This window comes from Homo sapiens, chromosome 1, assembly GCF_000001405.40.
Source record: "Homo sapiens chromosome 1, GRCh38.p14 Primary Assembly".
NCBI lineage: Eukaryota > Metazoa > Chordata > Mammalia > Primates > Hominidae > Homo > Homo sapiens.
The window spans coordinates 10,783,464-10,798,321 of record NC_000001.11 but is presented as its reverse complement, the minus strand read 5'-3'; the positions used below and the strand labels follow the sequence as shown (position 1 = coordinate 10,798,321).

The following is a 14,858-nucleotide window of genomic DNA, read 5'->3' as shown; positions in this document are numbered from 1 at the left end:
ACTATTCCAGGAAGTGAGGAGCTGGTTTTTTGAGCTGGTTTCTTCCCCAGTCCATCTAACACAAGCAAATATCACTGAGTATCTAAGGAGTGTGGGATGGCTCAGCTTCCTCTCCCAAATTTGTTGGCTTTATTAGGGCACAGGGCAAATCCTGGCCTCCTCAGGGCCAGAGGGCCATCATGTCTCCAGTCTGTGTCCATATGCTTCTGGACAATTAACTTCCAGTTTAAGGCAGGACATGGGAATGCATCCCGGAAGATGCTTGTCTTAGACAATCATCATACAGGGTTTTGGGTCGTTTCTCTGGTCCTGAGAGGCTTTCCTGACACCTTGCAGATTAGGCTCCAAATACTACCAGCCTGCAACAATGTTTACCAGCCTGTGGCATTGCCTCTTAGTTTAATGCATTCTGTTGAGCAGGGCTTGAAGCTGTGGGTCATACTTTGAATTTATATTCATTTATTCCACAAATCATTGATCTATTTCGTTTACTGTTATGGTCAGTTTCTCACTTATCTCATCATCTGGGTGTTTTCAGTTTCTTTCATGCCTCTCGATATTTCCATCCCACGCTTATGCTGAAGGGAAAAGCAGCTCAGGCCTGGAATGAGGGGTGCGCTTGCTGAGAAAGGCAAGACCAGAGCTACAGGGCCTCAGCACTGAAGCTGACTACTAGGCTCAGCTGGTGTGGCCACCTCAAACCAACTGGGAAATGGGAAGTCTGGGTATGGGAGAAAAGGGGGTTTCTTCAATAAAGTATGAAAGTGCCCCTCAAAAGGCCCTTCCCCCCCATCTGGGGGCAAGGGGATTATCTCTCGCAAGACACTGCTTTGTTTTGTTTTGTCAGAAATGAGGTCTAGCTATGTTGCCCAAGCTGGTCTCGAACTCCTGGGCTCAACCGATGCTCCTGCCTCGGCCTCCCAAAGTGCTGGGATTACAGGCGTAAACCACCATGCCGGCCCCCAAGACACTTTTTAGCCTATTGCCTTGGTTTATTTTCTTCATGGATACTTTCACTCTCTGAAATAACATTATCCACTTGTTTTAATGTGTATTATCTGCCCCCCCCCCAGCCCCTCCATGTAAGGTTCATTCTGCACGGCCTATCTTGCTCACTTAAGGATTTATTTCTTGCACAATAGATTGAATGAAAAACTCCCTTGCAAAGAATAAGTGCAAAGCAGATATCAAACAGTGAGAACATTTCGTTCCTTTGGGTTCCACAGTTCTAACATTCTAACTTGCAAAAAAGAGCCAGTTCTTCTGTCGAAAGTGGGAACCGAACTCGGGCTCTCTCGGGGTTCAGAACAGGTGGAAAGTAACCCCCCCCCCCATCCCTTCTCTCTTTTCCCCTAGCCTCAACTCAACTCAGCTGGGGGGGGGTGTAGAAGCCTCTGGACCTGCAAAAGGGGGCCGAGCGCTCAGATGCTCCTCCGCAGGCCGTGCGACTCGCCGCGCGCACACGCTGAGCTCAGCCCGGGCGGTGGGTGGGAAGGATCCGGGAGGGGCAGGTCTGGGGGTGTGAGGGTGGAGCGGAGCCCGGCCCCGCGATCCGGCCCGGGTTTTGCATGCCACCCACTCGCCCGCCCGGCCGCGGAGAATTCCATAATCACAGCGGGCGAGAGCGGAGACTGGGAGCGAAAAATCCGGGATCCGGCAACTTTGGGCAGCGCATGCGCGCCCGCGGCGCTCCATCCCAAACACACACACATTTTTCCCCCGGACTTGGAAAGTCACCCAAAGCCGCCCCAAGTGCAGGTAAGAGACTCGGCGCTCCCTCCGCCGCGGCCCCCCCACGTCCCCCAGCTCCGCGGGCCTCCCGGGGCGCCTCCCCGTCTCTCCCCCTGTCCCGGTGCACCCCCCCCACCCCCGGGGCTGCCGCTTGCAGCAGGGAGCGGGCGAGCGAGCGAGCGAGCGAGCCAGCCAGCCAGCCTGCGATCGGCGGCTGCCACCCAACTCCGGCCGTGCGGAGGCAGGGGGCACGGAGGGCTGGCACCCGGGCGCGGGGCGGCGCGTTGCCTGCCGTGGCCAGGGGAATGCCCGGCGCGCGGCTCCGGGGGAGGGGAGGGCTGCTCCTCCTGGGGGTCGCTTACTCCAACTGAGGGGGTGGCGGGGTAGGGGAGAAGAGAGGGAGGTGCCAGGCGCGAGCACAGGACTTTGCAAATAGGGTGGGGGCGCCCCACGCGCTGTGGGCTCCCGGGGGGGCAGGTGATCTCCAATACCGGGTAATCACTCCTTCCCCTTAAACCCCCACCCCACCCCACCCCCCAGCAGCAGAGGGGTCGTGCGCTCTCCAGGGCAGAGAAGGAGGCGGGGTGAGGGGTGCCTGGGGTGACTTTGCAAGACTTTGCCCATGGGAAGGGGTGGGTGGGGAACCCCTCCAGCCGGCTCTTGTGCCCGGATACCGGGTGTAGGTGCTGCCAGCAGAGGTAGGCAGTGTTCGCTTAGGCGCGGGGTGCCAAAGGGTATCCCCCATAGGAAATCGAAGGCAAGAGATTTCTTAGATGGGGGGAGCGGCGCCCCCTTTTTCATCTGTGCCTGGGAAGTTTATCTCAAGTGCGCTGCTCCAGGCGCGGCAAGTGGCGTTCCTCACTCCCTTCCCCACCCCACCCCCTGCCTCCCCAGCTGAAGGGCTGGCAACACAGGGCACGGGGAGCCGGGGCATCGGCCCAGAGCTGCCCGGCTGTCGGCTGGAGCCCGCCTGGGTCCCGGGGAAAGTTCGGGCGAGTTGTTGCCGGCTGTTGTGTGCGCCAGAAGAGAAGTTGCGCCCGGGGACGTGGGACGCTGGGCTGGCGGGCTAGCGGGCTGGTAGAGTGGTGCGCTCCGGGGGGGCTCTGCAGCGTGGGAGAGGGTCGGTCGGGGTCTGTTCCCCCAGGGTGGGCTGAGGGTGACCTCGGAGCTCAACAATTGGGGAGGAGGAGCCCTGAATCCAAGGGCACAGGGCTGAAATAGGCACCTGGTGAAGGACAGAGAAAAAAGTAGTTTGTGGGGGCGCAGGGAACACCAAAGGGAGAGAGCCGGTTTCCCGGTCACTTAGGGTCCGGCTTAACGGCAAAGGAGAGCGTGGTGACTGACGGAGGAGCGTCGGGGAGCGGGGATCCAGGGGGCGCGCGGGAATGGGGGATCGGGCCAGACCGAGTCAGGGATCTCCCGGGGCAGGGGGCCGATTCGTGCGCCCGGGGTGAGCCGGACGGGCGGAGCGGCGGCCGGTTTATTTTTACTCGGTGGCATTTGCAGAATGTGCAGCTGATGGCCGTCGGCCGCCAGGAAGTTTTGCTTTCTGTTCTTTCTCTCTCTTTCCGAAGCCAGCACTGCCGGGAGCTGGCGGGCCGGGCAGCCGGGTCTGGAAGGGGAGGGGGCGGCCGCCGGGGTGGCGAGGTGCGGGCAGAGGCGCGCTGGGGCCGCTGGCGGGGGCTGGCCGGGCGCGGGCGGGCGGGCGGTTGCTGGGCCGCTGCGGAGCGTTTGGGCGAATGTCTGTCCCCGGCGCTGGAAGCTCCTCCGCGAAGGGAACAGGTGTATGCGCCGTCAATCACGGCTGGAGGGACACTTTGGGGGCGTAGATTAAGATAATAATAATAGATTTTTCTCTAAGGGGTGGGCGCAGATTCTTCTTCCAAGTCATCCCCGACCCGGGTCCGGAGTTGGGGGAGGCTAGTGGAGCGCTGAGGGAGGCAGGGGACCCCCTCTTCCTCCACACAAGTTCCTCTGCCCCAGCTTCAGCTTGGAAAGCCGGCTCTGGGCGCGGCGAGGACCTCCTTCCAGCCACGCTGGCTACGGTGCGGGTGCGGGTGCGTGCCCACCGGAAAAGCGGCAGTAGCGCCTCTCCTGAGTATGGAGCTCCCCCAAACCTGGATCACTGGGCCACGGGGCGGAGTGTGCGTTTCTGACCGAGTGGAGTGTGGGGGTGCGGCCCTCATTGTGCGTAGTTGTCCCGCCGACACCCGGTACACTCAGGGGGTGGCGAGGGGGAAAAGGCCCTGGTAGTCGCGGGGCAAAGTTAGTAAATTTAGGACGTCTCCGAGCTGGTACAGGCGCGCGGTGAGAGCGCACGAGGGGACTGGAAAACAGATCGCCGGATAATCTTGGTGTCCCCCCGCCCAACCCACGACGCGCGCGCGCGCGCACACACACACACACACACACACGCATACACATACAAACACGCACACACACGCGCACACACACACGTCGCCGTCCTAAAGGGAGCTGTCCCGGCTGAGCAGGAGCAGCTGCGCCGGGCATGGGGAGGGGGGTAGTTGTTCCCCGGGGGCTGAGCCGGGGCTGCGCTCCACGTGCCCGGAGGGGGCGCTGGGCCGTTCGGCGCCCGAGCGCAAAGCGCCGGGTTTGCGTCCTGGTGGCGACCAGGCGGTGCGTCCCGGGCGGGCGTCGCGACCTGCGCAATCTCCGGCCGCCCGCGCCACTCCCCCGACCCCCAGCCGCTTTCCCACTTCCCAAACTTCGGTTTTTAGGGTGTGCCCCTCGCGGGAGCTCCTGGACCCTCTTCAGGGCAGAGTGGAGAACTTCTCCTTTCCAGGAGGTAGCCACCATCTCTGTCCCCAGAGTCCGGCGAATTGGAGAGATCGCCGCCCCGCCCCCCCGCCACCCACCCCCTTCTTGTTAGCCACCTTAGAGGCGGTTAAGGAGAGTTTATGGGGAATATTGTTGAACTTCAGTAATCAGGTTTCCAGCGATCTTATGCCTCCTGTTTAATTTATTAGACTAGTTATTTATTCTGTTGATGATAATCTGTTGCTGGTTTCTATGGAGATGTTAAACTGATCTCTTTCAGAAATCAAACTCCATATGCACTAAAACGTTTAAAGGGGCAGTGCCTTCCTCTTTTTTTCCCCTTGCCTTGTTTGTTTGTTTTTTAGACTTTGCACCTTGCCGAGACTTGGAGTCTTGCTCTGAGTCTCGGCGCATTTTATTTCCTTCTTACGAAGGAGAGGAGCCCAGCCCGGGAGCCTTACGCTTTGTGGCAAGTACAGCTTATTATGGCTAGAAGAAAGCGAAGGCTTTGATCTCTAAGTTGCATCATCATTTAAAACAGATCATTTCACCACCACCCCCTTCCTCCCCCCATCATATAAGAGCAAAATTCTTTCAAGATCAAAGAGTCCAATCTTTTAAAAAAGCTATTGTTTAAAAAAATAAGAAAGTCAGTTAAATATGAAACTCCCTTTTATATCTGCTCCCCTTATGTTTAAATAATTTTTTAATAAGAAAAACAAAACTTGTAGCTCAGCTAATTTTTTTCACACTTATTAATAGTTTATCTTGCCCCCCACCCCTTTTTAATTTAAAAGAAGTTCAAAGTTAGATTTCTCTGCCTGTGGGGGTTGAGGTATATTTGCTCCTCTTTTAGATCCTGACCATCTGTTTTAGGAAAATTAGCCTCTGGGAAGAGGGGAAAAGGAGTTTTTAGTCAAACTTACTGGAGTGCTTTATTTATTTATTTATTTTTTGGGGAAAATTGTCACCCAAATATTTTAAAGTTCAATTTTGCCTGCTTTTTGGGAGAATATCGATAACCTCTGTCTGGTATGTGAGAGTACATCAACTTTTTCTCCTTTTCTTCTCTGCCCAGGTATTTTTCTGTAGATTTGTGACTGGTTGGGGGTGGGGGTGGGGGCGTGGGGAGGCGGTGCAGTGAATTAAGAAAGGAAGACAGAAAAAAATTATCTTGTTTTGTGACACTGAAAAATTGCAAACTGACTCTGACTCAGATATTTATCACGCTGACAGATATGATACAAAGCGATTGCATTTCCTAATGATCCTTTGGGACTAAGTTGTAGGTAGAACCATTTAATGCATTTTTAATATTAAAGTAAGGCAGGGGTTGCATTTTCTTGGAGGTAGGGGGAGTGAATGTTCTTCCATAGAGATGGTGCTTTCTGAATATACTGCTTTACTTTTTCAACTGGACACCCCCCCCAACCCCACCCCTCCACATTTCCATTTACTTTGTGTGCGGGGCCGGGGGGGGGGGGGCGGGGGGGAGGGGTAAGCCATGTACAGAGCATTTGGCTTTCATAAATAAATTTATATCTGGCCAGAAGGTTCAATGCTAAATAAGAGCACACTTAAAAAAAAAAAAAACTGACTCCACCCCTGCTATAGGAAATAAAACAGGCAATACTTGAGTTTTTTTTTTTTTCTTTCTTTCTGCCACCCTGGTTCTCTTTTATATTATTTTATATTGGAGGGAGGGAGGTAGAGTGGTTGTTGCTGCTCAGCTCAGAGGCGAGAGGAACCATTCCTATTATTTCCCTCTTTGCTATATTTTTAAAATTTGTTTGATTTGGATTGCAAACAGAACAGAGGCTTACGAGTAGAAAAGAGCACTGTGGCTTTAAACTCAGGAGTTTGCATATTCTCCTTGTATCTTTCCCCTTTGCTAATTATTGTGTTGTTTTCAGAGCAAATATGTCATATCCATGGCGACCGGGCAGGTTTATTGTCTTTCTGAAGCAATAGCTCACATAAGTAATTAATGACTTTCTTTTTTTTCCTCTGGCTTAGGTTAAACAGATCATTCAAGGAAAGTCATCTCTCTCTTCTCTCTCTCTCTCTCCCCCTCTTTTTCTCTCTCTCTTTTTTTAGCCCAGTGACATAAGAACATGAGTAGAACAAGAAAATACTTTAACCAAGAAGTCAACAGCTTATTTTCCCCCATTTCTTTTCAAGGCTGAAGTGTCAGCTTTCAGACATATGAGGCTGTCATTCTCGCAGCCCTCAGCAGTGCAGTCCACGCCTGGGCTGGAAACCCACTGAAAGGTTGTGTAGTTTGGAGACAAGGGAGGTGTTAGCATGACGGGGGGAGGAACCTGGAGGAATTTGCTTTTGAGGTTGGGGGAAGCACTCCAAAATAAGTATTTCTCCTGTATTTAGCAGAATTTAATTAAATTGTTTACAGGAAAGAATTAATGAGTTGGTAGTAATGTGTTTTCCCACCTCCCTTCTTTTTCCCAGTCTAGTTAATTGGAAAGACTAAGTTTTTCTTTTTGCTTCACCTTCAGCTTCCGCTTTCTCCGACCTTTGTCTCAAGTGCTTTTTCCAGGAAAAGTAGCTTTTGGAATCCCCACTGGTTAATATTTCCAGAAGTATAGTGGGGTTTTTGTTTTTGTTTTGCTTTTCCCCTTAGACCTACAACTCAGAGCTGGTTTCTTCTTCTCGGGAATCAACAGCTCTGATGATTGACTAACACTTGGATTTTTCAACTTTTTTTTTTTTTTTTGATGGGAAGAGGGTCTCTTCGGATGTAAAATTATATAGATGGCACATCTCCCCTTCTGCATCTCGTGGCAGTATTAGGGAAGGTAGAAGCAAATTTTTTCTTTTTTAAAAAAAAAATCACCTTTTATGATCTACCCTTTACAAATGGACCTTTGCTAATAAGATTCCTCATGATGTCCCCCCCCAAACTTTAGAATGTGCTAGATGTCCTACTAATATTCTCCAGGGCTCGCTCGCCCCCTCTTATAGACATACATTAAGTACATTTATACCATCCTCTCCCCCTTTTTAAAATGTCAGGCATAGCCAAGGTTTTTGTGTGTGTCCTTACAAGGGGGGAACGAGATAAAGAGAGAAGCATTTATGTTGTACTCACACACAATTAAAAAGAATATTCTCCCCACCATCTGAACGAAGTTCAAAAAGGCTGTGAGTCCACGGAATGAATCTTTAGGCTTTTGGCATTGAAAATAAAAATATAAAGAAGAGAGATTTATTTGGTATCTTGTTTCTGAAGAGGAGAAGAGAAGGCCGAGCCAGTCTGATGCTGAGACTCCAGCGGAGTTGTAATTGAGCCCGTAACCTCTTGATGTCTATATCAGAAAAACAGACATGAGCAGAGGGAACCGAAGAGAGGCAAACAAGCCTGGTAGAGGAGAGGGAGCTCAGGGGGAGATTCACGGAGAGAGGAGAGAGATTTAATTTATAGACATTTTAAAAACCGTAATTTCATTAGGATCTGTTCTTCCCTTTCTCTGAAGGGCAGCCCGGCAGACCGATAAGGCCGGTCCCTGTGCCCGGGATACGTGGCGTGGTTGGGAGGGTGCAGGCTGGAAGCATCATTGCCAGCACCCCGTGTTGGTTTCTTCTCTGTCCACTTTCTACTGGCTTTCTTATTTTGAAATTAAAAAGTCCCAGATGGCCAGAAGTCAGCCGTGGTTCTGGCTGCCTGGTGATCTCTCCTCTGGCTGCCACGCCGCTCTGCGAGTGGGTCTGTCTTCTGCCTGGGCGGTGGCATCTGCGTGGCTCCCTTTGGTTGCAGGGCTGCCTGGTGTGCCAGCAGCAGGAGGCCACTGGGGGAGGGGGGCACCCCCACCTCGGGCCCCCTTGAGTTCACCAAGTTAAGTTGCTGTGGCTCTGAGGCCACAGCTTGGGGAAAAAAAGCTAAAGCCTGTCGTAAATTCTGCAAAAATTAATCAAGCGTTTAAGAGCTGCACGTTAACGAGGTTTTGCAGGCAAGCTGGGCCCTTCTCCTGTTCCCCCTGTTCAAAGTCCGGCAGAGTGAGGGGTGGCCTGGACAGTGTGAAGGGAAGGGGGAGTTTTTTTTTCTTACTTGGAATAATTGAGGACAACCAGGGAGAAGGAAGAAGAGAGATGGGTTTATTGAATAGAAATTCTCAAGTGCCCTTCTTCCATATTGTTGGAAATTTTTTCCCTTTTGGTCTGGATTTGTCCTATGTGTCTTTGGTGGAAAAGACACGTAGAGAAAGAGAGTGAAGGTGCGGGGAGAGAGAGAGAGAAAGAGAGAGAGAGGAGGATAGAGAGAGAGAGAGAGAGACAGGGACGTGTCGCTCCTTCGGAACTCATTATCATTCTTAATAAGTCTTAAGGAATAAGGAAGCGCATTGAGTGTAAATGCTGGGTAATCCTAACACTTCTCAAGGTGAGAGGAGTCTTGAGGACACAGAGAAAAGAGCCAGCAGAGGAGGGGGTGCGGGGGGCAGGCAGAGGCCCTGGGGAAGTGGCAGGCCCAGGGTTTGGGAGGCTCAGCAGGAGGCCTGGAGGCTGGGGTGGGGGGACCCCAAGATGTCCCAGGTGGGATGGGTTGTCTGAGATGACCCAGGGGATCTCAAAGATAGGGGGCTTTGCTAGGAGCAAGGAGCAGGGGTGATGGGAACAGCCCTGTCTTGGGTGGGGGGTGTGGGCAGGGGCCACAGGGTATTTGCTTTCTCCTGGGCGCCATGTCCCCAAACAGCTTGGCTCCTGACCCCTGGCCTCAAGTCCCTGGAGAAGGCCCAGGTGGGGGTAGGGTTAGAGGAGGCTTGTCCCACCCCACGCTCCCCCTTACTGTCCCCTTGGGCTCCCCTGCAGTGGCCACTGTGAGAAGCAGGAGGGACAGAGTGGTGGCTAGAGCTCAGCTCTGGACACTAGGTGGCTTAGAGGATCTGCGAGGTTCTGCAGAGCGGCAGCGGCTGCTGGCTTCCCCTCTGTCCCCACTGGTGGGCTCCTCTGTGCGATGCCTCTGCTGGCTGGGCAGGAAGCCCTGGCACACAGGAGGGAGGGCGCTGGCCCAGGGCATGGCACAGCTCCCGGGCCAGCCCTGCCAGTGACCAGCTTCCAGGCAAAGCAAGGATGAGGCCGGGGCAGCTCCCGGGTGAGGAGGCAGCGGTCAGGGACACTTGCTGCCAAGACGACTGGAGTCCTGCCTGTGGTCTCCGCCTGTTCCATCCTTGGCCACCTGGGTGTGAGGCACTGCTGAGCCTTGGTTTGACGGCGGGCAGTCTCTGGGCTGTGCTTCTTCCCTTCTTTTGAATCCATGTGCCCCCTTTGAGAATCCTCTTAATAAAAAAAATCTCGTAAGCATAAATGTTGCTTATACTTTGAGGGGTTTCGCAGATCTTATAAATGCAGTCTAAGGACCCTCTAGGGCCCCCTGCTCTGGTGGGCTTCTTTCCAATTCTCCAGGATGAGGCAGGGGGGCAGGAGGGAGGAGGCAAGATCGGTCCCCACCACTACTCCCACCTGCCTGCCTCTGCACTGGGAGAGGAGAGTGCTGTCAAACTGTCACCCAGGGGACCCCATAGGTGGATCGGGGCTAGCACTCAGGTTGCTCTGTGAGGAACCCCACCTGCTCAGGTAGCGATGCCCCTCACCAAGCCAAAGGCAGCTCTCCCGGTTCCCCTATCCACAGTAATGGATACATCCCCTTAATGGCAGAGCTCTTGGGCACATATAAAGGGATGTTCTGGATGAGAACATCCCCGTATCCAGCTAACGTTCTCTGGGATTCTAAGATGTTTGAGCAACGGTCTTAGGCAAGGTCATGTTTGAACCTTGGATAGTTTGCTCTGTGGAGAGATGTCAGCATGGAGAATAGCACAATTCAGGTTGGACTTATCATAGTTTTAAAAAAAAACATTTTTTCAAACTCTGTGTTTCTTTTGGAAAGCAACTTCTGGGGAGCTTTTAAAGGGGATGTGTGGGAGTCAGAGGTGAAGGCTGGTGCCTGAGCCGGTGGGAAGCCCGGAGGGAGAGTGGGATGGGTTAATGGCGGGTGGATTCTGCTTTTCTGTTGTTTAAGAGCAGTAATGGCCAAATTGCATGCCCTGCGTGTGCCTTGCTGATGAGATTTACCAAAAGGAAGCCTCGCTGCCTCTTTGCTGATGGTCTCTGGGTGGGTGAGCGTGTGTGTATGCGTGTGTGTGTGTGCGGGTGATCGTGCGCGTGTGTAAATGAGAAGAAGGGGTGGGGGAATGAGCTCTGCCAGGCTGGCACCCTTCCCCAGCACTAATTGCTGGCAGAGTACCTATGAGGGCTGTGCCAGCGTCTCCAGCTCCGCCCGCCCCCCTCGCCCCCGGGGAGCTCAGCTGTGCCGCTCGCTATGTGAGGGCCATTTCTGGGCCCACTCGTCCCCACAGCTCCTTCGGGAATTTCGGGGAAATCTGATCCTTGGGGAGACCATGGGTCAGGCCCCAGCATCTCTGGCTGGGGATCGGGGGACGGGGTGAGACACGGGTGGCCCCGAGCTCCACTCAGGTCTAACTGTCCACTCCCCTACCCTTCTGCGAGCCCCACACTTAAGGTCTTGCGAGATGTGGCCTGATGGGCTATGCATCTGGGGACCCTGTTCTGGTACTGGCTCTGCAGTAAATCACTGTGTGGCCTTAGGTAGTCATTTTACCTTTCTGGGCCTCAGTTTCCTCTCTTGTCAAATGGCCTCTGACCGTACCACCCTCGGAAGGGTGTCCTGATGGTTGGCTGGGCTCTTAGCTATGAAAGTCCTTTTTAAAGTAATTAAACGTAACGAAGAATTTATCATGGTTGGCATTGTCAAGTGCAAGGTGTCCCCAAGGTCAGGGGAGCCGGTTTTTATGTCATATGGTATCAGTCTCAAAGGGGACCCCTGTGAATTCCATTCCAGAAAGCCGTGAGCCTGGGTGTCGCGGGTGGTGCTGGGGTTACATTTTTGTGTCAGGTTGCAGGTTGGTTCTGTTATCATTGGGAACTTGGGGGTGAATTTGGGGGCTGCCTTTCAGGCAGAATGGGGGATCCCATTCAGGATATGGGGTGTGCTTTACTGTTTTGTGCCTCTGGAGCCAACAGGTTCATTTGAGGAGCTGTATATAGTGTAGATGGTGCATTCTGGAGCGAGTTAGCTGGGGATCAAAATCGTGTGACCTTTCATCAGTGACTTAACTGGCCGGTGCCTCATCTATGAAATGGGCATAATAGTACCTACCTCGTGGGGCTGATGTGAGGGTTACACGAGCTAAGACGTGTGAAATGTTAGGACCACATGTCTGTGTGTGTTACAGACCCATGCGGGAGAGGACACGGAAACACTTGCGGCTTATCAGGGATTGCCATGGAGAGGGGAACTGGGAGAGCTTGCTCTCTGTCTGTCTGGAGCTGGGCCCCTAGTGCAGGGTGACGTGGTGCTGCACACAGATTCTGCATTTTGTCCTTTACCTCTCTGGCCTGCCTGGGGTCCTCCTGGTGTTTTTGCTGCTGGGTCTGGAGGGGATGAGAATGAAGACTCTGCCCACATGCGGAGTCAGTCCCTCAAGTGGGGCAGGGGCCATTGCTCTTTCTTTCCCACACTGGCCAGACCAAGTGTTCCTGGAGCTCGGTGGGGTGAGGTGGGTCATCATGGGAGCTGTTTGGGACAGAAGGCCAGGGTGGGGTGGGGTGAGGGCAGATCTTGGAAACCGGCCCAAGGCGCCAGTGGCCTCTGCCAGTGTGAGTTGAATTCTGGGTGCTGGCAATCCCAGAGTCGTGCCCACGAGAGCGCCTCGCAGATGGAGGCTGTGTGGCTGGCAGAGGGAGCGGCGCGTGGGATCAGGAGCCAGGCTGAGCTGAAGGCGAATTGTGTTTCCTCCACTTGGACGATTCATTCCTCGAAGCCTTTGTTTCCGCATCTGTAAAATGGGACTTGGAATTCCCGTCACGTGGACCATGAGAATTAGATGAGAGGATCCCAGCTGACATTTGCTGGGGTTCCACTTTGAGCTTTATTTTACGGAACGCACACTGCTAGTGAGCAGCACATAGCAGGGGCGCAGGAGGAGGATGAAGCAGCCGTTGTGGGCTGAGCCTCATTTGGGTCTTGGCCTGAGCTCATCGCAGAGCCTCGGTGCTTAGCCAAGGGGCAGAGGACAACGGTTGTCCCTTTAGCCCCTGACATGGATGGAGCTGAGGTTTCCCACCTGCCCCAGGGATGGGTGCTCCCCAGGCCTGGGTGGAGGGCCACGAGACAGGCAGGGCGGGGCCAGGAGGAGAAGCAGAGGTGGGGTGGAGGCAGTGACCTAAGGAAGCAAGGGCATGAGGCCGTGAAGCGGGGGGCACTGGAGGGGCGAGGGGCACTTATGGAAGATGAGGTGTATGAAACTCCATCGGCCTCTCCCATTTCACTGTGCTATGCCAAAACACTCCGGTTCTTGTTTCACTATCTGAGATCTGGGAGCAGGTTAATTTCCATGACGAACTCCAGGCCACGTGCTTGAAGGATTTATCTAATTAAACGGATGCTTTTTTCTAAGAAAGAAATGAAGAAAGGGAGGGAGGGAAGGAAAGAGAAAGGAAAGGAAAGAAGGAAGAAAGGAAGGAAAAAGATGAGAAGGAAGGAAAGAAAGAAAGGAAGATAAGGATAAGGAAAAGAGAAAGAAAGGGAAGGAATGAGAGGAAGGGAGGAAAAGAAGGAAGGAAGGAAAGAAGGGAGGGAGGAAGGAAGGAAGAAAGGAAAGAAGGAAGGAAGGAAAAGAAAGAGAGGAAAGGAAGGAAGGAAGGAGGGAGAGAGAGAGAGAGACAGAAAGAAAGCAAGCAAGCAAGAAAGAAAGACAAGAAGGCAGGCAGGCAGAGAAGTTGGAGGCTGACTGGTAATTTTTGAAAGGCCGTGAAGGAGCAGAGGAGAGGGCCTGCTGACTGAGGTGGGGCCTCTCATGGCAGGTCATCCTCCTGTCTTTAGATGCTTTTAGTCTATTTCCAAAATAACTCTTGGGGCCAGGTGCGGTGGTTCATGCTTGTAATACCAGCACTTTGGGAGGCTGAGGCATGTGGATCACTTGAAGTCAGGAGTTCGAGACCAACCTGGCCAACATGGTGAAACCCCGTCTCTACTAAAAATACAAAAAAATTAGCCGGGTATGGTGGTGGAAGCCTGTAGTCCCAGCTACTCAGGAGGCTGAGGCAGGAGAATTGTTTGAACCCAGATGGCGGAGGTTGCAGTGAACTGAGATCATACCACTGCACTCCAGCCTGGGCAACAGAGCGAGACTCGCTCTCAAAAAAACAAAACAAAACAAAACAAAATAGCTCTTGGGCTGGGAGGTAGGGAGATAACTGGAGGGTGTGGGGTCTGTACCATCTCATACAGTAGCCATTAGCCCACATGGCAATTTAAGTTACATTTAAAATTTGGTTCTTCCTTGAACGAGCCACATTTCAGCTGCCCCACAGCCACGTACGGCTGGAGGTCCTGTGCTGGGCAGCTCAGGTGGGTCATTTCCATCATCGCAGGAAGTTCTGTTGGAAGCTTCCCTCCGAGGGATGCTTCCCTCAAACTTGGGCTAAATGGAGGACCCCCCCATGGGACAGTGATAGAGATGGAGGGCGGGGGCACACCCAGATGTCGTGAGGGCTCCCAAGACCAAGGTCTCTGTGGTGCCAGGACATCTTCTCTTTTGATTCTGCTGCAGGTTTCCTCTCTCCCAGGGCAGGGTGAGATGGCTGGTCTAGAGTGAGGCAGAACGGGGCTTAAGCCCTTCTTTTCCCACTTAGGACCTTTGTGACGGTGGGCCTGGGTCTTACCTCTCCAGTCCTGTGGAATTGGGCAGGCAGTCAGCAGTGCCGCCTCGCTGGGGTTCTTGTGATCATTGATGGAGGTGGCGCAGAAAGCACTTGGTAGAGAGCACAGGGTGAGCACTTGAAAAATGGGGACCACCATTGTTATCTTGATGATTATAATTGTAGGTTTTTTTTTTTTTTTTTTTTTTGAGACGGAGTCTTGCTTTTTCACCCAGGCTGAATTGCAGTGGCACGATCTAGGCTTGCTGCAACCTCCGCCTCCCGGGTTCAAGCAATTCTCCTGCCTCAGCCTCCTGAGTAGCTGGGATTACAGGCGTGCGTCACCACGCCTGGCTAATTTTGTATTTTTAGTAGAGATGGGGTTTCACCATGTTGGTCAGGCTGGTCTCGAACCCCTGACCTCAAGTGATCCACCCACCTAGGCCTCCCAAAGCGCTGGGATTACAGGCATGAGCCACTGCACCAGGCCAATATTATTTTCATAATGATTATTGAATAGTGTTTGGGCCTGTGGAGTTCTTAGGGACACTCTCCCAGCAAATGTGGATTTATCCATAATTGACCCTTTCCAGATTTACTTTCAGTGACCCCCACCC

At 53.1% G+C, this 14,858-nt stretch overlaps 1 protein-coding gene across 4 annotated transcripts in view, besides 3 other annotated features; it reads left to right on the top strand.

The window, feature by feature from the left end:
- Nucleotides 1–1,675: 1,675 nt before the first annotated feature.
- Nucleotides 1,676–14,858, top strand: part of CASZ1 (castor zinc finger 1) — a 160,043-nt gene continuing 146,860 nt past the window's right edge. For all 4 annotated transcript variants that reach the window (NM_001079843.3, XM_017001540.3, XM_047423404.1 and 1 more), the window contains exon 1: nt 1,676–1,758. The gene's annotated coding sequence lies outside the window, so the exon portion shown is untranslated. The remainder of the gene's footprint in view (nt 1,759–14,858) is intronic.
- Nucleotides 6,206–6,809: an enhancer, noted in NCBI's record as "VISTA enhancer hs408". NCBI's record gives its function as "enhancer in: forebrain[3/4]" and the evidence as "EXISTENCE:transgenic organism evidence [ECO:0001131][PMID:17130149]".
- Nucleotides 12,148–12,708: an enhancer, noted in NCBI's record as "H3K4me1 hESC enhancer chr1:10845671-10846231 (GRCh37/hg19 assembly coordinates)". NCBI's record gives its function as "activates a minimal SCP1, AML or CMV promoter by ChIP-STARR-seq in primed H9 embryonic stem cells {active_cell/tissue: H9 hESC(primed)}" and the evidence as "EXISTENCE:reporter gene assay evidence [ECO:0000049][PMID:30033119]".
- Nucleotides 12,709–13,271: an enhancer, noted in NCBI's record as "H3K4me1 hESC enhancer chr1:10845108-10845670 (GRCh37/hg19 assembly coordinates)". NCBI's record gives its function as "activates a minimal SCP1, AML or CMV promoter by ChIP-STARR-seq in primed H9 embryonic stem cells {active_cell/tissue: H9 hESC(primed)}" and the evidence as "EXISTENCE:reporter gene assay evidence [ECO:0000049][PMID:30033119]".